At 42.0% G+C, this 26,829-nt stretch overlaps 2 pseudogenes across 6 annotated transcripts in view, besides 3 other annotated features; both read right to left on the bottom strand.

Annotated features, from left to right (window-relative positions):
- Positions 2,649–3,103: a DNaseI hypersensitive site, noted in NCBI's record as "DHS6S1; present in multiple cell types; the nucleotide coordinates are approximate for this feature". NCBI's record gives the evidence for it as "EXISTENCE:in vivo cleavage assay evidence [ECO:0001075][PMID:22955617]".
- Positions 6,672–6,841: an enhancer, noted in NCBI's record as "active region_24863". NCBI's record gives its function as "activates an Ori minimal core promoter by ATAC-STARR-seq in GM12878 lymphoblastoid cells {active_cell/tissue: GM12878}" and the evidence as "EXISTENCE:reporter gene assay evidence [ECO:0000049][PMID:35858748]".
- Positions 8,213–26,829, bottom strand: part of TSTD3 (thiosulfate sulfurtransferase like domain containing 3) — a 66,727-nt pseudogene continuing 48,110 nt past the window's right edge. For 3 of the 6 annotated variants that reach the window (NR_197380.1, NR_197373.1, NR_197375.1), the window contains one exon: positions 8,213–11,108. The product of NR_197380.1 is annotated as a thiosulfate sulfurtransferase like domain containing 3, transcript variant 14 (transcript). Of the gene's footprint in view, positions 11,109–16,293; positions 20,336–26,829 lie in introns of those variants that run through there. The other 3 variants (NR_197371.1, NR_197383.1, NR_197374.1) reach the window with 1 other exon arrangement.
- RPS3P5 (ribosomal protein S3 pseudogene 5) lies at positions 19,524–20,306 on the bottom strand (annotated as a pseudogene).
- Positions 20,150–20,347: a silencer, noted in NCBI's record as "fragment chr6:100023517-100023714 (GRCh37/hg19 assembly coordinates)". NCBI's record gives its function as "represses an EF-1alpha promoter that drives an FKBP-Casp9 reporter gene in an ReSE screen in HepG2 liver carcinoma cells {active_cell/tissue: HepG2}" and the evidence as "EXISTENCE:reporter gene assay evidence [ECO:0000049][PMID:32094911]".

The raw sequence follows: 26,829 nt of genomic DNA, 5'->3' as shown, positions 1-26,829 counted from the left end.
ATAAGAAAGCTGAGAAAATGAGCATCTGATTTATAAATACGGAAAGGATGGAGCCATGAGGTAGGATATTCCCAGTCATAGTTGAAAGGTCTTCATAAGCATGATACAATTTCACTACACTGCCTTAGTCGCCATAACAAAGTCTTCTATTACCTTCCCAAGTATTCATTTTTTCCATCTTCTAATAGAACCGTGATTGTATTACATTACTGCAAGTTGCATTGCTGTCTGGAACAAAGACTGTGTGTCCCAGTCTCTTTGTGGCTATGTAAGTCCTGGTCAATACGATGTAAAAAGAAGTGTCTTTTAAGACTAAGGAGACAACTCAGCCCCCTTTTGACTTTCCTCATGCTTGAAATGCAGACATGATGGTTGGGGCTACAGAAGCCATCTTGGTCCATGATATAATCCTGTGTATAGAAGACATGTACTAAGGATGGCCAAACAGAAAGATAGAAGGAAGCAGGATCCCAGATGACTTAATGGAACAACCACACCAACCCTGGATTACCTATGGCTGGACTTCTTCCAGGTGAAAATAAACTCTGGTGTCTAAACCACTACTTGGCAGGGGGAGGGAGAAAGTTCTTTTACTCAAGGCTTATAGCAATCCCGAAGTGGTACTACTAACATATGGAAGATGTTGGTTTGTTTCCTTTTGGGCTTTGGCTTTGTGTGTATTATCAATGAATTAACTTTTTAGATTTCCTTGTAATTTGTATTCATTTTTATATTTGAGAGGCTTATATATAAATATACCTTTTAAAATGAGATACTATTGATTTTATTTTACCAAAAATATTTGGAGAATAAAAACAAACGTTTAAGTCATTAACATAGGAACCATTCTTCTGAAAATTGCTACTTAATGTTTAAAAATAAAGACATCCTTTGAATCCAGGACATCATTGCTGTGCATTTATGAATTTGTAGTCTGTCTTGATTCATTTTGTGTTGCTGTAACAGAATACCACAGACTGAGTAATTTACAAAGAAAATAAATTTATTTCTTACAGTTCTGGAGGCTGGCAAGTCCAAGAGCATGGCACTGGCATCTGGCAAGAGCCTTCTAGTTGTTAAGAAGGTGGAAGGACAATGGCCGGGCGCGGTGGCGCACGCCTGTAATCCCAGCGATTTGAGAGGCCAAGGTGGGTGGATCACCTGAGGTCAGGAGTTCGAGACCAGCCTGACCAACACGGAGAAACCCCATCTCTACTACAAATACAAAAAAAGTTAGCCAGGTGTGGTGGTGCATGCCTGTAATCCCAGCTACTCAGGAGGCTGAGGTGGGAGAATTGCTTGAATCTGGGAGGTGGAGGTTGCGGTGAGCCAAGATCATGCCATTGCACTCCAGCCTGGGCAACAAGAGCAAAACCGTCAAAAAAAAAAAAAGAAGAAGGTAGAAGGACAAGAAAGTGCTCTCGAGAGAGCAAGAGAGACAGAGGGGGCAGAACTCACTTTTACAGCAAGCCCTTTCCCCCAATAACTAAGCCACTCTCAGGATAATGATAACAACGTTAGTCCATTAATGAGAGCAGAGCCATTGTGACCTAATCACCTCTTATTAGGCCCCTTCTCCGGGAACTATTGTATTGGGGATTAACTTTCCAACCCATGAACTTTGGGGAACACAATCAAACCAATAGCATGGTCTGTGGTCTAAATTCCGGATATTGTCAACCCCAACATTTAATTATATTTTAGTAGATGTTTAATGAAGGATATTAAACTATTCATATAGCATCTATCTTCTTCAGAATTGATCAATTTATTCATTCCTAATCTTAAACCAGCTGCCAGCTGTGTGATATATTTTAGGCTTCTAAGGGAAAAGTAACAAATGCAAAAATATTTCAAGTGCAGGGAGAAGTAGGTTCACATCACTGAAAATGAAAGAGATACCCATCCGTGTTTCCAAGGTCAAACCAAAGGCTATCATTATATGGTTCTTAATTTTATCACTGATGGTGATGCAGAGGACTTAAGAAAATTTAACCTGCTTCATCATGACTCATGTGAGGGTTGAGATGACTTGATAGAAAGAAATAATAAGAAAGAATTCAGTAGAGAGAAATAGATGATAAAGTGATGGAAGAAAAAAGTTAAAGAAAGGAGGAAGTGAGAAGCTATTAGAAATAAGATTCTATACTTGAGCAACAGATAAAAATGGAATGATTCACTGATTAGTATAACTGAAAATATAGGGAGGTGTGGATTCTGCAGGACAGCATCTGGATTAAATACTTTATAAGAAAAAATATAATTCAGCAAAAGTTTTTCTCTTCTGTGATAACATGACAGACATTTCAGTGCCTACTTGCCTCAGAAAGAGGAGCTTGACACAGAGCAGCAATCAGAAGCTACTTACTCTTTCATCATTAGAATATGTTGCCGAGTAATTAATGAAGTTGACAAGTTGAAGGCAATTTTCTGGTTCTTGTTTTAACAACAATTTAACTTTGTTTTTTATAACCCAATGATGCTGGATAAAATAAAACCAATTGACAGAGAAGTCAGGACAGGACTTGGTTGTTTCTGAATATGAAAAATATCTAGAAAGATGCTTCATCTTTATCCTTTACCTTATTCTGTTGCCCTCATAGCATACATGAATTCAGTTTTTAAATACTTATTTTTAATTTTTTAAATATATAACAAATCATGCATAGCAAAAGTTTTATTCCGTAGAATTCATACTCTCATTCTCTGATTTTTACATTTCACTCAGTCACAGCTTAGAGAAGTTGTGTAATATTGCCAAAAATAATGGCTCTTTTGATTTCCACATAATTTTTCCAGTGATTGTTTTTTCTCTCTTCTGGGGTTAATTTCCTGTAGCAAACTGTTACATAATCATCCCCAGTGAATTGAACCTCCTGGTATTCATGCTCTTGCATAATCTCCTTTCATAATGATCTTAAGCTTTGCCATATGACTTGCTCTGGTCAGTGGGACATCAGTAAATGTGACACAAGCAGAAGTTTCAGCACTTGCACATTTGTGTCATCCCCTTTTAATATGCTATCGATTGCCATATGAAGAAGCCTGATCTAGTCTTCTCAAAAGACCACACAGAGCAAAAGGTCCAGCCCTCAGCTCTCCACCAAATGAGTATAGCCACTTAGTGAGCCTAGGTGAGACTAGAGAAAGATCCATCCAGGTAAGCCCAACCCAAATTGCAGAATGGTGAAAAAATAAAGTGTTGTTTTATGTCACTAAGTTTTAATAACCAATTAGTTATTCAATGACAGATAATAGATAGCTACCCCTCCTCTGAATGAATATAATTAAATACAACAGAGATAAATGTGGGGGAGACTGCCTTGATTCAAATGATCAGTGGTCTAGAAATGTGAGAAGGTAAACTATTTAGACAAGAGATAGCCAACAAACTGGGGATTGTGACTGATCACAGGTATGGAAGATATTAAGATATCAACCCAAAAACCATCATCCCCATATGTTTTTTGCTAGCAGAACCCTGAGTTTGTGTAAAAGTGGTCAAGTGCTTTAGGGAATGCAAAGTCCCTCCAGACTCCAAGAGGTGAAACTTGATTAACTTAAGTCAGTCATGGTAGTTCCTTTACCTTCATTTTTGACTGGTTTAGGAACAGGCATGTGAAACAATTATGGCAAAAAAAAAAAAAAAACAAGTGAGAGCAAGTGTTTTGGAAGTACATGGGAACCGTTTTCTTTCATCTTAAAAAGGGTGTCTAAAAGAAAACAGTCTCCATTATTTCTGTGTTTGCATGTTTTGTGAGAATGAGATTCTTAGAAAAGCAGCAATCAATTGTGAGGAAACAAACCTGAGGACAGAAACCAATATCCACATCAAAGAATAAAGAAATGTTAGGTGTTTGTTTGAATAATTAGGCAATAGTTTCTGTAACCTAAATGTGAGATGTGGGTATTTTGATTTGCTTCTTTCTCTTGCACATTGGGAATTGAAATGAGAGGGTGTTTTGACTAATTTTTCTAACTAATGTTTTGCCTCCTATGCTTGCAATTAATTTACCTTTCAGTATTGTTTGGTCTTTTAAAAACTGGTTAGAAACTTGTAAGAACATTACAACTCTATCTCCTTTTCTGAAAATAAATGTGAACAATCGATTCTACATTCTTGATACAAGAAATGTTACAGTGAACGCTGGAATCTCAAAAAGACTTCTCTCTCTGGAGCAATGCAATTAGATTTTCCAGTGATTAAATGGGTCATCGCCGATAAGAAGTTATTGCTCAGGGCATAAGATTGTACTTCATTCCATCAAAGTGATGCTCAAGTTCAGAAAGCCGCACAGAAAGCACCCTTAGACAAACACAGACGTGGGAAAGGAATAAACTTGTGAGGCTCCATCAGTTTCCCCATTTGGCTCTTCAGCCCCCTTGCGAAACTGTCTGACCTCGGGCATCTGCGGAAACGCAGACGCTGAGGAAGCACCGACAGAGGAGCGCTTGGGATCTCTGCGGGCCCAGCCCAGACCAGTAACCTGCAGCCAATGACTGACGTCCCAATCCCTAGTCTGGGGACTGGGGGCTGGGGCGGCGCCACGCTGCTTTCCCGGGAGCCAGAAGACTCTGCTGGACCACCGAGCTCACGTGCAGAAAAGCTCGAGGCCCAGCCTCTGCCCCTGTGACAGGCGCCCAGGGAAAGAAGAGAGCCCTGGCTTCCTCAGGGGTCGGGGGATGGGGATGGTAAGGACGCCGCGCCGGGGTCCCTCTTCTGTTGGGGGTGGACGTGCCAGCAGGTCAGGCTGTTTTCCTGAGAGGACGGAAAGGGAAGGCTCGCTCCTGTCTCCTCAATCCCAGGGCCCCGCGGAACCCCCCTTCTGCGCTGGAACTTGGCCTCTTCTCTGCAGTGTCTCCCCCCCACGTCTCAGGCCGAGTTTATGCCTTCTTAGAGATCGACTTCTGTCGCTATGGCCCTTTCAAATCCTAGAAAGCAGCCTGCGGAGAGAGAACCGCGCGCTGAAGTGCAAGTGGCCACGCGCCTCCCGGCGGGCGCCAGCAGCTGCCTCAGGACGGCCGGCAGAGCTAGGCGGCTGCGTCCGTGGGCACCCCACCCCCGCCGGGCACCACCGCCCCGCGCTCGCGCCCTGCACCCTACCTGGTGCCTCACACCCCTCGGGGAGCGCTGCTAACTTGTCGGGGACAATGCGCAGTGAACCGGCCTTAGGGTTCCGAAGCTCGCACAGTGGGAGGAAGGCGACGAGGGGAAGGAAGGCAGATGCCCTCTGTGACTGTACCAAGCTGGTATTGGACTCCCTAGGCAAGAAGCCTTTTAAAATAATTTCATTAAATGCTTTTTTACTGATGATAATGACATCAATAATAATAAAAGAGATCCTGGCGCTCACATTCGTCTGTAAGAGTTTGGTAGCCCCTCTCTTGGTATGACCATCATTCATGCTTTCCATGAACACACAATGAGCACTCACTGTGCGGCAGCTCTGCTCGTGCTTGACTAGGATCATCCTAGCCCCTCCCAGGCCTCTCAAATATGAACTTCCCCCGTGTTTTCAGGAGCACTGCAAGGTAACTGTTACGTAGTTTTCAAAAAGTCTGGAGAGCCTGGTGACCATGACAAAGAAAGGCACAGTCATACATAGGAAAAGGATGTCTAATTTACTTGCATTGTTCCAGGCTCCATGCCAGAGTCAGGCCTAGGTTTTGATCCTCTGGAGAAAATGTACCAAAGTCGATGGTTTGAGGGACGTCAGTCACTGCCTTCTGGAAGACTAGGAAGACTGGAAAGATTATTTTTCTCATGCTTAACTGTTTACCTTTTTTTTTGTTAAGACAGGATCTCCCTGTGTTGCCCAGGCGGAACTCAAACTCCTCCGCTCAAGCGATTCTCCTGCCTCAGCCTCCCAACAGCTGCGAGTGCCATCGTGCCCTATTACTTTTGTTTAAAAAGGTTTGAATATTTAAAATCAGTTCCATTTAGTCAAAGAGTTACAATTATAGTTCAACTAAACCTGCAGTCAATGTAAGTATTCATACCCTAAGAAAAAGCACCACAAAATGATGTCTGTGATTGTTAACGGTTGATTGGTTTCCTGTGTCCATAGTGGACAATATTATGAAGCATAGACAGAGAAACATGTTTACTAAGAAGCTTTTTTTTCCTTCCAGGAAATTCTGTAGGTGAAAATGTTGAAATTGTCAGTTGAAATATCTGGTGAAGTCTAACATTAACATTAAATAAAAAGCAAGTGACAGGAGAGTACTGATGTATATTCCTCTTGGGAGATTAACTCTTTCTCTGCTAGTCCCCCCCTCACACCCCCACCCCTGAATTTGCCCACAGCCATAGCAGGGCCGTCAGTGTTTCGGGATGCCAGGCAGACGTAATTCGGCTTCAGAGCGCCTTGCTTAAGCAAAAGGCTGTGTGTACGTTCCCCAGGAGTCCGAGGACGGGCAGGCTGGCAAAGGCTGGCCCTGGTCACCGCTGGGAGAGGACGCCCCCGGGCTGGCTGCTGTTGCTGCTGGGGCTACTCCTCCCCGCCCCGGTCCTCCTCCAGCTTCTCAGCCGCAGCCGCGCTTCCTGCTCTGGGGCTCTCGCAGCTGTTTAGGTTTAAGGTACAGGAGGAATTTCAAGCTTTTTCTGATCCCATCCCACCCGCCCCCATCCCCCGTGAGACTGGCCTCTGGGCACCACGGTCTCTTCTGTCTCCATCCAGCTCAAATCGAAGCTTGGAGAGGAAGCCCCACAGCTGCGGTTCGACCCTGCCCCGGCAGACCGAGATGAAAGCAGCTTGCGGAGGCTGCTCCGGCACCCGGCGCGGGCACGCGAGGGAAGAAGCCCCGCGCAAAGCAGCGCAGCCTTGGCTTTTGAAGCTGCCCTCTATGCACTTCCTCCGGCTTCCAGCCGGAATCTACGACCCATCCGCAGAGCGGGCTGGGTAAGGTTGTGCGGCAGCAGCAACCCCGAGGGAAAGAATTTTGTTTCTTTTTGAGGCCCTGCTGCATTTCTGGTTCCCAGCCTGGAGCAGGGGGCGCCTCGCTCCCCGGAGTCCCACAGGCTTGGGCCGCAGCTGGGCCGACGCGGTCGACAGGTGTGTGAGGCCGAACCCCGGAGCACCGGGAGGCGGCTGGGAGCCAGGGCAGAACGCCTGGGGCGCATCCTCAGGGAGGAATCATCTGGCGTTCAAGCCGCTCTCGGGTCTTTTGCTGGATCTGCAGATCGGCTCACGCAGCAGGAGCCCAAGGAGCAGAACCTGGGCATGCCAGACTTTGCAGTCGCGCACGCCACCCAGCGCCCGCCTTGCGCTGGTCTCAGCTGGCGTTCCCTCTATTAGGCAGATCGCTTAGCGCTTGGGTCGGTTTTAGTTCTCCAGTGTCTCTCTCCAAAGGAAGCGCAGTGTAGTCGTTACTTCTCTACTCTCAGCTCCTAGAGCGATACCGGGCACACAGCAGCGCGCAATAAAGTATTGGCTCTTTCATTTAACATGTGTCTGTTGAGCGCTCACTATGTCCTAAACACCCAAGGCCTCCAGCCTCAGGAAGCTTAATTTCCAGTTGTTTGGATGAATGGGAAAACAATAAGGTATTGTTCTTGCGTTGCTATAAAGAAATACCTGAGGCCGGGTAATTTATAAAGGAAAGAGGTAGAGTTGACCCACGGTTCTTCAGTCTTTACAGGAATCATGGTGCTGGCATCTGCTCAGCTTCTAGGGAGTCCTCAGGAATCTTACAATCATGGTGGAAGGTGAAGGGGGAGCAGGCACGTCACATGGAGAGAGCAAAGGCAAGGTAAAGAAAGAGGGAGAGAGAATCGAAGATGTGATTGGAGGGATCTTCCACAGTGATCAGCTCTGTGTCCTGTGGACAAATTACCTGCTTTCTATGGAATTTAGTATATTTTCTCTTTACCTAGATAGGAAGATTTAGTTATAAATGTAACCTGCAATTCCAGTCTTTTAGAAGAGGACTTAAAGAGGACAAAGACTTAATAAGTGAGAGGAAAAAAAAGTGAGAGCGGAAAAAAAGAATAAAGTGAAAGGGGCACCCAGACCGTCCAACAATTAAAAACAAGCCCATAGCCAAGCACGGTAGCATGCACCTGTAATTCCACCTACGGGGGAGGATAGTTTGAATCCAGGAGTTTGAGGCCAGCCTGGGCAACATAGTAAAACCCCCATCTCAAAAGAGATGCTGGGGCTAACAACATGTCTCATTTTCCCTTTTCACAAAGAAGCATCATGAGTTTAAATCATATGAACTTTTCTCTGTTTTTAATTTAGTTCAAGGACTGCCAATCAAAGGAACTAGAATCATAAAACAGGTACATCCTGACAACTTCACCCTGAAGTGGGAACACCACTACCCCAATACTTCTAGCTTTCTCTTAAGCCACTTTAGCTTCTGGCTTTCAAAAAGACCTGTGAGGCCTGAGTTAAGAGAAAAAGGACAAAGTATTTCTTCCTGTGTTCTTTGAACAGAATGCCCCTGAGATTCTAACCTCTGGGAGGCATACTTTTTTCACTTCAGCTCCTGAAAATGACTTTGTAAAGGAAACTGATTAATTTGGGTGGAGGGGTGATGGAGTCAGATGAAAAAGTCAGGAAAATAAGTTCAGGGAAGTAAGACCAAATGAAAGATTCCTGAGTTATTAGCCAGACTTTTACTGGGATGTGGAATTTGGTTTACTGTCTGTAATTAAGAGGTTGAGCTGCTTTTTTTCAGAAGTGTGGTACCCTGTCTAGTGGGCCTCTTTGAACTTAGATTTTGGGTCTGTAAAGCTTTTCATTTGTTGTTGTTTTTTTTAAATCACATTTTCTGAAGAATTCCATACATAGTCCCAATATTAGGAAGTAGGCCTAGCAGTTATTATTATTCTAATTTTTTTAATGAGCGTCAGATAAGTTACTTATCCAAAGCCACATGGTTGGTGAATAGAGGAGCCCTTGTTAGCATCTGGGTCTGATACTTAGCTCAGCGTCCTGCCCACCATTCCGCAACAGGAAAAAAAATTTTAAAACTTAACCAATAAATATCTATTGACAACCTATTAGCAGCTCAGCACAGTAGGAAGGCCTGTGGAAGTGTGCTATTTGCTGGTCCTTAATATGTTCAATGTTGACACATACCTGCTTTGTTCCTTCTTGGCACTATCAGTATAATATAGAAGTCATACACACTCTAGGCACACAGTCTGGAATTACTTCCTGGCTGCAGCATTCTACAGCCACACTTCATTTTATTGTGTTTCACAGATATTGTGCTGTTTACAATGGAAAGTGTGTGGTGACTCTGCATTGAGTACATCTATTGGTGCCATTTATCTGTTATGGTGATCTGCGATCAGTAATCTGTGGTGTTATTGTTGTAATTCTTTTGGGGTTCCATGAACTATATTTATATAAGTCAGCAAACATAATTGATAAATGTGTGTGTTCTGACTGCTCTACCGACTGGCAGTCCCCATCACTTCCCCTCTCTTCAGGCCTCCCTATTCCCTGAGACACAGCAGTGTTGAAATTAGGTCAGCTACACCCTACAATGGCCTCTAAGTGTAGGGTGAAAAGTAAAAGTGTTCAAGTGAAAAGAAAAGTTGCAAGTCTCTCACTTTATATGAAAAGCTAGAAATGGTAAGCTTAGTGAGGAAGGCATGTGGAAAGACAAGACAGGCACAAAGCTTGGCCTCCTACACCAAACCATTAGCCAAGTTGTGAATGCAAAGGAAAAGTTCTTGAGGAAAACTAAAAGTGTTGTTCCTGTGACCATACAAGTGATAGGAAAGCAGAACAGCTTTATTACTGATGCAGAGAAAGTTTGAGTGGTCTGAATAGAAAATCATACTAGCCACAATATTCCCTTAAACCAAAGCTTATTCCAGAGCAAAGCGCTAACTCTCTTTAATTCTGTGAAGGGTGAGAGAGGTGAGAAAGCTGCAGAAGAAAAGTTTGAAGCTAGCAGAGGTTGGCTCATGAGATTTAAGGAAAGATGTGGTCTCCAAAACATAAAAGTGTGAGGTGAAGCAGCAAGTGCTGATGCAGAAGCTGCAGCAAGCTAACCAGAAGATCTAGCTAAGATTGCTGATGAAGGTAGCTATACTTAACAATGGATTTTCTATGTAGGTGAAACAGCCTTCTATTGGAAAAAGATGCCATCTAGGACGTTCATAGCTAGAGAGAAATCAATGCCTGGCTTCAAACTTTAAAGGAAAATCTTCTGGAAAGGATTCATCATTTGTCATAACTATTAAGAACATTTGTGGGCTGGGTATGGTAGCTCACACCTGTAATCCCAGCACTTTGGGAGGCCAAGGTGGATGGATTGCTTGAGCACAGAAGTTCGAGACCAGCCTGGGCAAAATGGTGAAACCCCATCTCTACAAAAAATACAAACATTTGCTGGTCATGGTGGCATGCACCTGTAGTCCCAGCTACTCAGAGGCTGAGGTGGTAGGATCATTTGAGCCCAGGAGGTGGAGGTTGCAGTGAGCTGGGATTGTGCCACTGCACTCTAGCCTGAGCAATAGAGCAAGACTCTGTCTCAAAAAAAAAAAAAAGTTAAAGTGTTAAAAAAAATTTGTAACTCATGGGAAGAGGCTAAAATAGCAACATGTTATTCACAGGAGTTTGGAAAAAGTTGATTCCAACCATCATATATCACTTTGAGGGGTGCAAGACTTCAGTAGAGGAAGCAAGTGCAGGTGTGGTGGAACTAGCAAGAGAACTAGAAGTGCAGCTTAAAAATGTGACTGAATTGCTGCAACTCATGATCAGACTTGAACAGATAAGGAGGTACCTCTTATAAATGCTCAAAGAAAGTGGTTTCTTGAGATGGAATCTATTCCTGGTGAAGATGCTATGAACATTGTTTAAATGACAACAAAGGAATTACAATACTACATAAACTTAGTTGAGAAAGTATTGGCAAGGCCTGAGAGGACTGACTCCAATTTTGAAAGCAGTTCTACTGTGAGTAAAATGCTGTCAAACAGCATAGCATACTACAGAAAAATGTTTTGTGAAAGGAAGAGTCCACTGATGCAGCAAGCTTCACGGTTGTCTCTTTCTTTCTCTCTTTCTTTCCTTTCTTTCTTTCTTTTCTTCTTTCTTTCTTTCTTTCAGAGAGAGATTTTAACACACCTCTCATAGTAACTGACAGAAAAAAGCAGACAAAAAGATCAGTAAGAATATAAAATATTTAACCACATAATTAACAAACTTGCTGTACCCACAAATGTATGATAATAAACTCATACCTTTCAAATCAGAACACTTCAGTAAGTTTACCATGAATAAAGCAAATCATAAGTTGTCTTAGTTTTTTAAAATTACCACAGCCACCCCAACCTTCAGCAACCACTACCCTGATCAGTCAGCAGCCATTAACATCGAGGCAGGACTCTCCACCAGCAAAAAGATTATGACCCACTGAAGGCTCAGGTGATCATTAGAATTTTTACCAGTAAGGTGTTTTTTGGCCGGGCATGGTGACTTACTCCTGTAAGCCCAGCACTTTGGGAGGCGAAGGTGAGTGGATCACCTGAGGTCAGGAGTTCAAGACCAGACTGGCCAACATGGTGAAATCCCATTTCTACTAAAAATACAAAAATTAGCTGGGTGTGGTGACACACACCTGAAATCCTAGCTACTTGGGAGGCTGAAGCATGAGAATTGCTTGAACCTGGGAAATGGAGGTTGCAAGTGAGCTGAGATCATGCCACTGCATTCCAGCCTGGGTGATAGAGTGAGACTCTGTCTGAAAATTGAAGTTTTTTTGTTTGTTTGTTTTGTTTTTGTTTTTGGGTTTTTGTTTGTTTGTTTGTTTGTTTTGAGACAGAGTCTCACTCTGTTGCCAGGCTGGAGTGCAGTGGTGCAATCTTGGCTCACTGCAACCTCTGCCTCCCAAGTTCAAGCAATTCTCTTGCCTCAGCCTCCCAAGTAGCTGGGACTGCAGACACCCGCCACCATGCCCGGCTAATTTTTGTATTTTTAGTAGAGATGGGGTTTCAATATGTTGGCCAGGATGGTCTCCATCTCTTGACCTCGTGATCTGCCTGCCTCAGACTCCCAAAGTGCTGGGATTACAGGCATGAACCACCGCGCCAGTCCAAAAGTATTTTTTGTTTAAGGTACATACATTGTTTTTTAGACATAATGCTATTCCATACTTAATAGACTACAATATACTGTAAGCATAACTTTTATGTGCACTGAGAAACCAAAACAAAATGTGTGGCTTGCTTTATTGCAATATTTGCTTTATTGTGGTGATGTGGGAATGAACCCACAATGTCTCCAAAGTGTGCTCATGCCTATGTGGACTTGGGCATGTTATTTAATCTCTCTCAGCCTAAGTTTTCTCATCCATAAAAAGAGCATCATAATAATACCTCCTTAATAGGCTTGTTAATAGGACCAAATAAAATGTGTGCATGTAACTGTTATTAAGTATGGTAACATTTCAGGTAGCCGAGTTAGATGTTTACTGCTAAGTTAGATTTTTACATAGGTAGATCAAGAATTTATTACCTAGGAGCTGAATAAGGATTTCTGTTTTTAATAATGTGCATTAAAAGACTGGTGAGATTAAATGTGTTTCTACTGGCTTTACAATTTGTGAGTAAAGGTAGCATTACATAAAATAAAATCCTAGATAAAAAGTGGTATCACTAGCTTACCAAATTCAAGTATTGTTTTTATCATAACTTGACTAAATCACGGCTTTCATGTTAAGGAAAACTTTTAAATTAGCACATCCAAGGCCCTGGCCATAGGAGCCTGATATTCTTCCCTCCAGTACTGTCACTAATTGTCTCTTCTTAAAGAAATAATTCCTGTAAGACCATTTAAACTTTTAAACTTATGCTCAATATGCCTTGATTTCCCCCTCCTATCACATTACAAAAAGGGAGGAAAAAAACAAAGTATAACAGCTTTTTCTCCATTTTTATCTATTCCCATTTACACACTGTTTTAATAATTCACGTAAAAATTATTTTCCAATTTCAATTGCGATTTTTTTGTTTTGTTTTGTTTTGTTTTGTTTTGTTTTGTTTTGAGATGGAGTCTCGCTCTGTTGCCAGGCTGGAGTGCAGTGGCGCGACCTTGGCTGACTACAACCTCCATCTCCCGGGTTCAAGCAATTCTCCTGCCTCAGTCTCCCGAGTAGCTGGGACTACAGGCGCCCGCCACCACGCCCGGCTAATTTTTTGTATTTTTTTAAGTAGAGATGGGTTTTCACCGTGTTAGCCAGGATGGTCTCGATCTCTTGACCTCGTGATCCACCCATCTCGGCCTCTCAAAGTGCTAGGATTACAGGCATGAGCCACCGTGCCCGGCCCAAAAATGTTTCTAAGTTGCAACTTTTTTTTTTTTTTCTGAGACAGGATCTCGCTCTGTCACCCAGGCTGAAGTGTAGTGGTGCAATCATAGCTCGCTGCAACGTCAAACTCCTGGACTCAAGGCACCCTCCTGCCTCAGACCTGAGTAGCTAAGACTAGAGATGTGTGCCACTGAGCCTGGCTAACTTATTTTTATTTTTATTTTTATTTTATGTATTCATTCATTCATTCATTCATTTAAGACAGGGTGTCTCTCTCTCTCTATTGCCCAGGCTGGAGTGCAATGGTGCAATCTCGGCTCACTACAACCTCTGTCTTCAGGATTCAAGCTATTCTCTCACCTCTGCCTCCCCAGTAGCTGGGACTGGCATGCACCTCCACACCTGGCTAATTTTTGTATGTTTTGGTAGAGATGGGGTTTCACCATGTTGCCCAGCCTTAATTTTTTTCTAGAGATGGGGTCTTGCTATGTTGCCCAGGCTAGTCTTGAACTGCTGGGCTCAAGCGATTCTCCTTCCTTGACCTCTCAAAGTGTGGGGATTACAGGCATGAGCCACTGCATCCAGCCTAAATTGCAAATTTAAAGAGATTATGTCATTTTCTCCTTTTCAGCACTTTAAATGTCTTTGAAGATCAGTGCTTCTTGGTTAGTACAAAGAACAAATGTATATTTTAAAATTTTTAATAAAAAACTAAACATCTGGCCAGGCACGGTGGCTCACACCTGCAGTCCCAGCACTTTGGAACGTCGAGGCAGGCAGATCGCCTGAGGTCAGGAGTTCAAGACCAGCCTGACCAACATGGAGAAACCCTGTCTCTACTAAAAACACAAAATTAGCCAGGCGTGGTGGTGCGTGCCTATAATCCCAGCTACTTGGGAATTGAGGCAGGAGAATCGTTTGAACTGGGGAGGCAGAGGTTGCGGTGAGCCGAGATCATGCCATTGCACTCTAGCCTGGGCAATAAGAGCGAAACTCCGTCTCAAAAATAATAATAATAATAATAAACTGAACGTCTTTGAACAGAAAAGTTTGGGAGCTGTTTCTTCAAAGAATATATAAAAACTATAACAATGTTCCCTGATTTCAAGTCACTTTCAGATAAGTTTTGTTCTAAATCCTGATAAGTGGAACAAATAAAATAAGCATAGCCTACTGTGACGGAAGTGTTAAGCTGAGCGTCTGTCTTGACAACACGGAAAGTTATTTTGGTGACTTCTCAAAGCAAGTGGGATTTCAGCTAGAATTTCTATCAGATGGACCGTTTTTCCCCTCCCTGGGATGCTCTGTGCTTGTAGCCCCACAAAATTTGTTGTACTCCTTCTTCTTTTTCTATGTCAATTAGAACGCCAACAGAGTTTTTAAACAATAAAGAGATTTATTTTCACCTAAAAAAAGTCCGAGCAGGACAGTGACCATGGAAGTTGGAATCCACTAAGGAGTGTGTAACAACCCACCTGCCAAATCAACTAAAAAAAAAAATCCAGATATAGGCACTTGAGAGGTTGTTTAATTCAATGGTTCCTCAACATTGTCACCCTGAACTAATTTTTTTCATGCCCTTTGGTTTTGTCATCCTCAGCCTTGTCTTTACAGTCATAGCACATCTGCCACACAACAGTGATCACATACAGCAGTTTCTCAACTTTGGAAGTTGGTATTTGGGGCTGAATCGTTCATTGTTATGGGGGGCTGTCCTGTGCATTGTGGAATGTTTAGCAGCATCCCTGTTTTCTACCCAGTAGATGCCCATAGCACTCTCCCCACAGTTACAACAAGCAAAAGTGTCTTCACTCTTCAGTCACTGCCAAAAGTCCCATGGGGAGCGGGGGCAAAATCATCCCCAGAACTGCTCACTATAGATACAACAGTCAGTAGCAGAAAACAGATTGATTTTTTTTTTCCTCCAAATACTTTAGTTTATGACCTCGCTCAGAAGTTCTCAGCAGACTTCCCCTCCATGGCATTGGCTAGAATTGTCACTTGCTCATGCCTAAACCAACCACATACAAGGTAAATGAGAATCAATGCAGCCCTCAGACTCAGGTAAGTGAGATGCTGTACCAACCCACACCTCAGAATCTTTGGAGTATATATACACACACACACACACACACAAATATATATACACACACACACATGTACACACAGACACACATATATATACATATATGTATATATACATATGTACACACATATATACACATATATGTATATATACATATGTACACACATATATACATACACACACATATGTATATATATAAAATTTTTTTTTGAGACAGAGTCTCACTCTGTCACCCAGGCTGGAGTGCAGTGGCATGATCCCAGTTCACTGCAATCTCTGCCTCCCAGGTTCAAGTGATTCTAGTGCCTCAGCCTCCCAAAGTAGCTGGGATTACAGGCGCATGCCACCACACCTACCTAATTTTGTATTTTTAGTAGAGAGTATTTTTAGTATTTTTAGTTTCACCATGTTGGCCAGGCTGGTCTCAAACTCCTGACCTCAAGTGATCTCCCCACCTCAGCCTCCCGAAGTGCTGGGATTACAGGCATGAGCCACTGCACCTGGCCTGGAGTATATTTTTAAAGTAAGCTTTGTATTAGGCCATTCTTGTGTTGCTATAAAGAAATACCTGAGACTGAGCAATTTATTTTAAAAAACAGGTTTAACTGGCTCACAGTTCCACAGGCTGTACAGAACAGGCATCTCTTGGCTTCTGGGGAGGCCTCGGGGAGATTTTACTCATGGCAGAAGGTGGAGCAGAAGCTTGCACATCACATAGCGGGAGCAGGAGCAAGAGGTGGAGGCTGGAGGGCCACACTTTACAGCAAACAGATCTCATCAGAACTCATTCACTATCATGAGGACAGCACCAAGCCAAGAGAGATCCTCCCCCGACCCAAACACCTCCCACCAGGCCCCACCTCCAATAGTGAAGATTAGATTTCAACATGAGATTTGGGCAGGGACAAATATCCAAACTACATCAAACCTCTTATCTTGGAATAATTTAATTTAAATTTACAGAAAAGTTATAAAGATAGCACAGAGAGTGCCTATATGTCTCTTACCCAGTTTCCCCTAATATTAACATCTTAACATAACTATAGCACATTTGTTAAAATTGAGAGACTGTTATTGCTTCATGACTATTAATCAATTTTCACAGTTTATTCAAATTTCACCAATTTTTCCTACTATGTCTTTTTTCTGTTCCAGGATCCCACGCAGGATACCACATTACATTTAGCCATTAAATCTCCTTATTCCCCTCTAGTCTGTGACAGTTTCTCAGTCTTTATTTGTTTTTGATGACCTGGATATTTTTGAATAGTGCTGGTCAGATGTTTTGTATAATGTCCCTAAATTTGGGTTTGTCTGATGATGTTTTTTTTTTTCTCATGACTAGTTGTAGGGTTACAGACTTTTAAGAGGAAGACCACAGAGGTAAAGGTAGAGTTCTCTCCTTATCACATCATGTCAGGAATACATACTACCAACATGACTTATCAGTGTTGATGCTAACCTTGATCGCTTTGTTCAGGTAGTGTGTGCCAGGTGTCTCTGCTGTAAAGTTACTATTTTTTCCCTTTACATAATCTATTGTTTGGAAGCAAGACACTAAATTCAGCCCATACTCAAGGGGTGAAGCTTTAAGTTCCATCTCTGGAGGGGAAACTGTCTACATGTATTATTTGGAATTCTTTAGTAAGGAAGATTTATCTTTTACCCATTTATTTATTTACTTAATCATATACTTACATATGTATGTCAGCATAGATCCAGGTATATTTATTTTATTATTTGGGTTAAAATACTGTACTGTTTGGTTGTTATGGATGGTTAATTTTAGAAGTCAACTTGATTAGGCTAAGTATGCCCAGGTAACTGGTAGAACATTATTTCTAGGTGTGGCTATGAAGTTTTTTCTCCTGGAAGAGAAAAAGGACATAGTAGGAAGAGATTTGAATCAGTTGACTGAGTAAAGAAGATAGCCCTCACCAATGTGGTGGGCATCATCCAAACTGTTGCATGATTAAACAGAACAAAAAGACAGAGGAAGGGTCAATTCACTCTCTCTTCTGGAATCTGGACATCCATCTTATCTTCTGCCCTTGGACATCAGTGCTCCTGGTTGTCAAGCCCTCAGGCTTGGACTGGAACTACACCACTGGCTTTTCTGGATCTCCAGCTTGAAGATGGCAGGCTGTGGGATTTCTCGGCTTCTATAATCAAGTATGCCAATTATATATATAATCTCCTATTGGTTCTGCTTCTCTGGAGAACCCTGATTAATATAGTTGTTGCTCATTATCATGTGGTTGTTCCCATTATCATTTCAATGTCTTGATGTATATTCTTCCACTTATTTCTTCTTGCTTAGATATAAATAAGTACACAGGCATATAAATATGTTTGTATGTGTATTTATTCTATAGAAGAAATTTGGTCTGGAAGTCAAGTCTGAAAAGGATGATTGTTTTAGAAGCACCCTCAAGTAAGTCTAAAGCACAGTCAAGATTAAGGACCACCAACCATCCTAAGCCAATTATGGTTGTTCTCATCAGGGCTGTCCCTAGTTTTGTGGGGCCCTAGACACTTTTTTTTTTTGGTGTGAAACCTCTATCTATATAAACAAAGGAAATAAGGAGAGAATGAAGTAGAATGGAATTAAAGCTGAAAGTTCATGTTAAAGAGAAAAACTAAGAGCATACAAACTAAAGTTACAATGCAGAGACTATGAAGCAGACAGAAAATACTCAGAATGGGGAAATAGTATAGGCCAGTTGGAACAGGAAAACAAGAAACACACAAAAAGAAGTATGTCTCAATTCCAGACAGTTTTCTAGTTACAATTCTAGCGCCAATCCACATTTCTTCTTTTAATGAACTGTAAATTTATGGAAGTAACTTTGCAACCAAAAAAGTTCAATTATAGTATGTAGATGTGAAAAAAATGAATAAAAACAAAGAAGAGAATTGGCCAATGCTGCAGGGATAAATAACATAATGAAAGAAGTTAGGGGAGTATCCAGTTTATAGCCAGAAAGTGAGATCCATTCTGAGCTTTAGTTTGAAAAGTACCTCAAAATCAATCATTTCAGAAGACCACTAGACAGATAGACTTCCCCAGAGTTTGCAGATCTGGTCTTTATTTTTGCAGACTCAGAAACATGAGCTGCCAGATTACTAAGTCTAGTCTATCTCTTGGGTGTAAATACATTGATCAAGCTCATAGAAACTCATACATTAAAAACCCAACCAGGTGCAGTGGCTCATACCCGTAAATCCCAACACTTTTGGAGGCTGAGACAGGAGGATCACTTGAACCCAGGAGTTTGAGACCAGCCTGGGCAACATAGTGAGACCCCCATCTGTGAAAAAAAAAAACCTGCAAAAAACCTAATATATAATCTGTCATGAGATTACAGTTAAAAAAAAAGAAAAAACAATACAAATTAATTGATTTATAAAGATAATTGCCAATTGATTAAATACTTTTTTACTGCTCATAGCATTATATTTCCATAGGCAAATTAATGTGGGAAACCAAATTATTATTGAAAGATTGCTTCATAAGTACAAAATTAGATCAATAGAAGTTGGTTGAAGTTAGTGCTATCAAGTTATAACAATCTGATACATCAACTTGTACCCTAAGAACATACTTGCTGAAGAGCCTAGATACTTAAGTCTGTGGGCCAGAGCTGATTAACAATCTGAAGACACTGTAGCAGTCAAAATAATAGTCTCCAAAGATGTCCTCAACTGAATCCCCAGAACCTGTGAATATGTTATGTTACATGGCAGGGAGGAATTAAGGTTGCGGATGGAATTTAGGTTGCTAGTGAGCTGAATTTAAAATAAGAAAATTATCCCAGATTATCCAGGTAGGCCCAGGGTAGTAATCACAAGGGTACTTTAAATGTGGAAGAAGAAGGTACAATTTAGAGTGACACAACATGAGAAAGACTCAACTGGCCATGGCTGGTTTTGAAGATTAAGGGAGCCATGAGCCAAGAAATGTGGGAACCTCTAGAAACTGGAAAAGGCAGGAATACAGATTATCCTCTAGATTCTTTAGAGAGGAATACAGCCCTGCTGACACCTTAATTTTAGCATAGTGAGATGCATCTACGACTTTAGGACTTTTTTCTTTGTACAAGATTTTATTAAAGTTCTTTACAGAACAACATCCAGACTCCAGACACAGCTGCTAAGTAGACCCTGTTATGCTGTGGGGACTGGCTGGGACATGGCAGGTGGCTCTGGCTTCCTACCCTTCTCTTCTGAGATGGGAGTGGTGGAGAGTATCTCATCTTTGGGTTCCACGAACCCAAAGATGGGTCCCCTGCCCCTGGTCGGGCAGGGACTTCCTAGGGCTAATCTTACCAGCTGGTTCCCAGGGAAGCATGACCTTCACCTTGATGCCCAGCACAGCCTGTTGGAGCAGCACATGGTGCACAGCGGTGTCAACATAGTATTAACAGGGTCCCAGCTGTGGATCATCAGGCCATTCACAAACTTCATGGATTTAGCCCTCTGTCCTCAGAGTTTCCTGGACACAATGACCTTGAAGCCTTTAGTCCCACACTCCATGATGAACCGCAGCACACCATAGCAGGCCTTCTGCACAGCAAGCCCTCCTAGGGGTTTGTAACACAGAGACTCTGCCTGGACAATGGCACATATCTCTTGTAGACACCTTTTCAGCATAAAGCTCTACTTTACCCTCTGAAAAGCCAAACCTCTTCTGAACTACAGCAGTCAATTCCCAAATATGCCAGCCCTTCTCACCAAGAACATTCTGTGTTCTGGTGGCTAAGGTAAAGATTTCTGTCCTAGCTGGTGTAACTCAGACCTCAACTCCAGAGTAGCTATCTTCAGCCAGCTCCTGAATGAGAACTTCATTCAGTTCAGCTTTGAAGATACCATCAATGACAAACTTCCTCTTCTTGAAAAACTGCACCACCATCTTGCTGTGGCACACCAGTGAAAGGAAAGGATGACATTTAGGACTTCTGACCTCCAGAACTGTAAAATAAGGTAATTTGTTATAGCAACAATGGGAAATGAACACAGACACCCTGCCAAAATTTGATCTTTCTGACCTCTATTTATGGATTCCATAAATTTTCCTTTCACCATCTTTTAAAGCAAACTAATATAATAACTTGGTGTAAACTTTTAGTTACATCACAATCCAGACAGGCTTCCCCAGCTGGATCACCTTGATTGGTGTTCACCAATTATTTGGACACTTCTTGTTCTGGCAAATCTTGTATGCAGGCCATTTCTTGATCCTGGGAATCTCCAGACAATAGGATTGAAGAGATCTGGCTCTAAGATTTCTTATTGATACATTTTGTTCTCTCAAAGGCCATTCTAGACTAACCAAAAATGAAAGGTGAATTCTGGAATCACTCCAAATGTCTGGGGACACCAAATCTAGGAGTGTACAGGGCAGAACAAATATCTAATGGCATGAGTAAGCTGGCATATTGTAACCCAACATATTTGATTATTGTTCCCTGCAGAATACAACTGCATTACAGTGTCAAAGGCTTGTCTTAAAAGACAGAGCATGTTCCTCCTTGTATGAAGCTAGATACAAAGAGATCTTCCTCATCTCTGAAAACAGAGTTCTTTATAGTCCATGTTATAGAGTCCAGATTTGTTCTAAATTTAAAAAAAGCTAACAGTTATTGAGCTTTTACTATGTATCAGGCACTGCTCTAATTTCATTTAAGTTCATTTAAACTTCACCACAACCCTATGACTTACCAATAATTATCCCTGTTTTACAGATGAAGAAACTGAGACTCAGAGTGACTAAGTAGATGACCAGGGTTAGACAACTGGTAAGCAGCAGAGCTATTATTTGAACCTCATCAGTCTAGAGACTGAGTTCTTAACTAATACACTTTATACTACAGTTTGAATATGCCCTCAGAGTTTACATGTTGAAAACTTGATCTCCAATGTCATGATGTTGAGAGGTGGAGCCTAATGAGAAGTGATTAGGCTATGAGGCCTCTGCCTTCATGAATGGATTAATGCTGTTATCCTGGGAATGGGTTCCTTATAAAATGATGAGTTTGGCCCCGTCTTGCTCTCTCTCTCTCTTTCTCTCTCTCTCTCACCTTCTCTTTGTCCTTCTGCCATGGGATGATGTAGCAAGAAGGCCTTCACCAGATGCCAGCCCCTCAATCTTGGACTTCCCAGCCTCAAGAACCCATGAGCTAATACATTTCTGTTCATTATGTGAAAGTTGTCAAGATCAAAATGGAGTCACTTGTGTTAAAAAACAAAAATAAAAAATAGAGCCTCAAAGGGCCATGAAGGAAGGGTTCTCACAAATAAATGCCTGGTAACAAAAACTATCACAAAAGATGCTGCAAAAACCATAACATTGCACAAACACCACAGCAACCTTGCACGAAAAACAGTATTTCTGTGAGGATATCTGCCCAGCAACTGCCTATCTAATCTTGGACTGGTGTCACCTTTGTAATTGATCTTTGTAGCCATGGCTAACTTATCTCAAAACAATTATGTAATCCTTTTCATTTTTTCTTTAAAACCCTTTGTGTTCCTTCACCTCCCTAAATACCCATGTAGTTTACTAAGGGTGCACATACTCCTATTGCAATGCCCTATTCCTAAATAAAGATCATTTTCTTTTAGAGAGCCTCTCTCTGTTATCTTGGTTGACAATTATAAATTACCCAGTCTGTGCTATTCTCTTATAGCACAAAACAAAGACACTTTTCCATAATTTAGACGTGTATTCATCTTCAACAAATACAGGTATACCAGAACAAAAATAAAGGGAGGTACAGGGGATGACTACATAAAGAAGAGGATGTTTTTCACAATAAGGACTATTAATAACAAAGCAAAGTAATTATGATAATAATTTAATTAAAAATGAGAGGATTATCTCCAATAATTGTGTTTGAGAAGAAAAACTTGTACTACAAACTTGGAATAATGTGCTTATAGCGGTTTCATCATAGTAGTTCTGTTGAAGCTGTCTAGTTGGATAAAAAAGTTATTGCACTGTGAATCAGAAGAATCGGATTCCAGGTATTCTTGCCGCTATTTAACTAAGTGAGCTTGATAAAGCCACTAACCTTCTAGCTCCTAGTTTACCAGAAATAGTATTCATGCTGCTGGAGAAAGCACTGTAAGAAGAAAAAGGATAAATGCTTTCTTGTCACAGGAGATTGAACACTAGCATCAAGAATTTATTAACATTTTAAAATACTAAAAGAGTATAATTGGATTGTTTGTAACACAAAGGATAAATGCTTGAGATGATGGATACCCATTTACCCTGATGTGATTATTACTCATTGCATGCCTGTATCAAAATAGCTCATGTACCCCCATAAATATACACACCTACTATGTATCCACAAAAATGAAAAATAAAAAATTTTTTAAAAAGAATTTATTGAACTCATCCCATTTGAAAAGCACAAGGTAAGTTGAAAATTGGAAGGGACAACATTAATTTATTTCATCAAGTTTAAATTAGTGGGTAGTGAGGTCTGAAAAACAATACTCCTAAAATTATAAAGAAAAGTTTAAAAAATCATCAGCGAAAAAAGGCAAATCTGCTAGATAGCTCATGATCTTTTTGCATCCAGGTAAGCTGGGATATCTATGTATTTTAACAGCTTTTGTAAATTTATCTATTCCACTAGAGATATCCTTAAATGAAGTTAGCTTTTGGTTCAAGTCAATTTAATTCAACCTACATTTATAGAATGACCTCAAAAGCAATTTACTCTGAAACTAAGGAAGCCTAAGCTCCAGGCCTGTCACTTGCACAGCCCCCATGAGCACTGGGAGCTGCTGGGCATTTGGTGGAAGCAGAAACCAGGTCACAAACAGGAAGAGGTTCTATGTAGCACTTGTGGTAAATTGCCTAAAAGAGTTCACAGAAGGAAAGGACCTGAATTTCCACAGCTCTAGTAAGTTGTTGTGGCTCTTTTTGCATTCTAAATGTAGTACTCACTTTTCAACATAATTTTGTATCCGTAATGTTATATCAAAGCACATCCCCCAAATTCTATAAGAGATTTATACAAAGATGAAGGATCTCACTGTTTTGTAGGAAGAAGAGTGCAGAATTAGGTATAAAACAAAATTGCGGGGCACGGTGGCTCATGCCTATAATCCCAGCACTTTGGGAGGCTGAGGTGGGTGGATTAACTGAGGTCAGGAGTTTGTGACCAGCCTGACCAACATGGTGAAACCCCATCTCTACTAAAAATCCAAAAAAAAAAAAAAAAAAAAAAAATTATCTGGGCATGGTGGCAGGCACCTGTAATCCCAGCTACTTGGGAGGCTAAGGCAGGAGAATCGCCTGAAGCCATTGCACTCCAACCTGGGTGACAGAGCAAGACTCTGCCTCAAAAAAAAAAAAAAAAAAAAAAAGTGCTAGTCCAGTAATAGCAACAAAGTATAATAGGATCGCTTAGAATAAAACATTAGTAATACTAATTCGTTGCAGTATCCTTATCTTCTGGATGATGCCAGTTTCACAAAAACAAAACAAACCCTGAGAGAGTTGAAGAAATCCTGAATCTGTGAACTAGCCCATGGCCTGGAGTTTCTTAAGGTAGTGCCTTTTAAATATAAATATAAAGATAAATATATATATATTTTTATTTATTTTTTTTTTTTTTGAGATGGAGTCTCACTCTGTCGCCCAGGCTGGAGTGCAGTGGCTCGATCTCAGCTCACTGCAAGCTCCGCCTCCTGGGTTCATGCCATTCTCCTGCCTCAGCCTCCCGAGTAGCTGGGACTACAGGCGCCTGCCACCACGCCCGGCTAATTTTTTGTGTTTTTAGTGGAGACGGGGTTTCACCGTGTTAGCCAGGATGGTCTCGAGCTCTTGACCTCGTGATCCGCCCACCTCAGCCTCCCAAAGTGCTGGGATTACAGGCCTGAGCCACCGCGCCCTGCCAATATTTTCTATTGTGATCTGTAGTGTAACAGACAGTAGTGTTCATGAAGTATACTACACACTCGTTTACATTTCTCAGCTTTCTTTCTTTTTTTTTTTTTTTTGAGACAGAGTCTCACTCCGACACCCAGGCTGGAGTGCAGTGGCGCGATCTTGGCTCACTGCAACCTCCGCCTCCCAGGTTCAAGCGATTCTCCTGCCTGAGCCTCCCAAGTAGCTAGGATCACACGCATGCGCCACCATGCCCGGCTAATTTTTGTATTTTAGTGGAGACGGGGTTTCACCATGCTGGCCATGATGGTCTGATCTCCTGACCTCGTGATCTGCCTGTCTTGGCCTCCCAAAGTGCTGGGAGTACAGGCGTGAGCCACCGTGCCTGGCCTCAGCTTTCTTCACAGTTAAAAATTGGAGGCATGTGTCTATTCTGGTCAATGGCCCATGAGAGAAAGTGATTGGGTTGTTTCTGTTTCAAGGCTCTTAACCCTGGGTAAGAGTTAGTATGAGTCCTCTGTGCTCTCTCTAGAAAGATTTTAAACCTAGAAGTAAAGACCATCAAGATGGAGTAATTGAAGGATATATAAATATTACATTCTTGAAAATCTGGAAGACAACCACCAAGGAGAGCAAGCCGACTTTATGGGACTTTATGGGAGTGACGTATGACATGTAAAATACTTTGATGTTAAGCTATGCTGATTAGGGGTGGGGGTGGGGAGGTGTTACCACAATTTCACCTAGTGTAGCTTATCCAGACTAATTCATTCTTTTTTCTTTTTCTTTTTGGATTTGGAGTCTCACTCTGTTGTCCAGGCTGGAGTGCAGTGGCACAATCTCTGCCCACCGCAACCTCTGCCTCCTGGGTTCAAGCGATTCTTGTGCTGCAGCCTCCCGAGTAGCTGGGACTACGGGTGCACGCCACCACACTCCGCTAATTTTTGTATTTTTAGTAGAGACAGGGTTTCACCATGTTGGCTAGGCTGGTCTCAAACTCCTGACCTCAAGTGATCCGCCCATTTCGGCATCCCAAAGTGCTGGGATTACAGGCGTGAGCCACCACACCTGATGCAGACTAATTCTCACATACAAACAAATGCATTTCACATCTTGACTGTGTGTGTATATGTGTGTTTGTGTATGTATATACACACATATATAACTGAACCAAATTTAAATATAATATCCTTGCTATTTCTGATTTACCTAGTATTTTCTGTTCTATTTAGGAAAATGATTATACTTAATTTTACCACACCCTAATTGGTCTCCACCTACAATGTGAAAAATACTGTCTTAAGTTGCCTCAGATGCTGACTGTCTATAAACAAGTTTCTGGAGTGTCCAATTATTTAGAAAAATAATTATAAGTTTTACAATAAATGCATTGCTACAATGAAAATGAAATGGAAAATACAAAATATTTCGTCTTGTAAAATTAAATTATGGCTTTTTTTGCAGTATGTTTCTATTAGGTGCATACATGTACATACATGTGCATACATATATGCATGAATATTTTTAGATGTTCTGCAAAACTGTTGATTCCGCTGCTCTGTAAGTTTGCACTTTATCACTCCAAAATAACTCCATTAAGATCGCGGCCGAGATCTCGCCACTGCACTCCAGCCTGGGCGACAGAGCGAGACTCCGTCTCAAAAAAAAAAAAAAAAAAGATCGCGGCCGGGCGCGGTTGCTCACGCCTGTAATCCCAGCACTTTGGGAGGCCGAGGTGGGCGGATCACGAGGTCAGGAAATGGAGACCATCCTGGCCAACATGGTGAAACCCTGTCTCTACTAAAAATACAAAAATTAGCTGGGCGTGGTGGTGTGAGCCTGTAGTCCCAGCTACTTGGGAGGCTGAGGCAGGAGAATCGCTTGAACCTGGGAGGCAGAGGTTGCAATGAGCCTAGATAGCGCCACTGCACTCCAACCTGGGCGACAGAGCAAGACTCCGTCTCAAAAAAAAAAAAAAAAAAAAACCGCCTGATCCAGGCCGGGCCTGGTAGCCCACGCCTGTTAATCCCAGCATTTTGGGAGGCTGAGGCTGACGGATCACCTGAGGTTAGGAGTTCCAGACCAGCCTAGCGAAATCCCCTCTCCACTAAAAATACAAAGATTAGATGGACGTGGTGGCACGCGCCTGTAATCCCTGTAATCCCAGCTACCTGGGAGGCTGAGGCAGCAGAATCATTTGAACTGGAAAGGCAGAGGTTGCTGTGAGCCGAGATTGTGCCACTGCATTCCATCCTGGGTGACAGACCCAGACTCCGTCTCAAAAGTAAAAAACAGGCAGGGTGCGGTGGCTTACGCCTGTAATCCCAGCACTTTGGGAGGTTGAGGAGGGCGGATCACGAGGTCAGGAGTTTGAGACTATCCTGGCCAACATGGTGAAACCCTATCTCTACTAAAAATACAAAAATTAGCTGGGCATGGTGGTGCGCGCCTGCAGTCCCAGCTACTCGGGAGGCTGAGGCAGGAGAATCGCTTGAACTCCTGGAGGCGGAGCTTGCAGTGAGCCGGGATCGTGCCACTGCACTCCAGCCTGGAGACA

This window comes from Homo sapiens, chromosome 6 (assembly GCF_000001405.40).
Source record: "Homo sapiens chromosome 6, GRCh38.p14 Primary Assembly".
NCBI lineage: Eukaryota > Metazoa > Chordata > Mammalia > Primates > Hominidae > Homo > Homo sapiens.
This window is presented reverse-complemented; position numbering and strand designations above follow the sequence as displayed.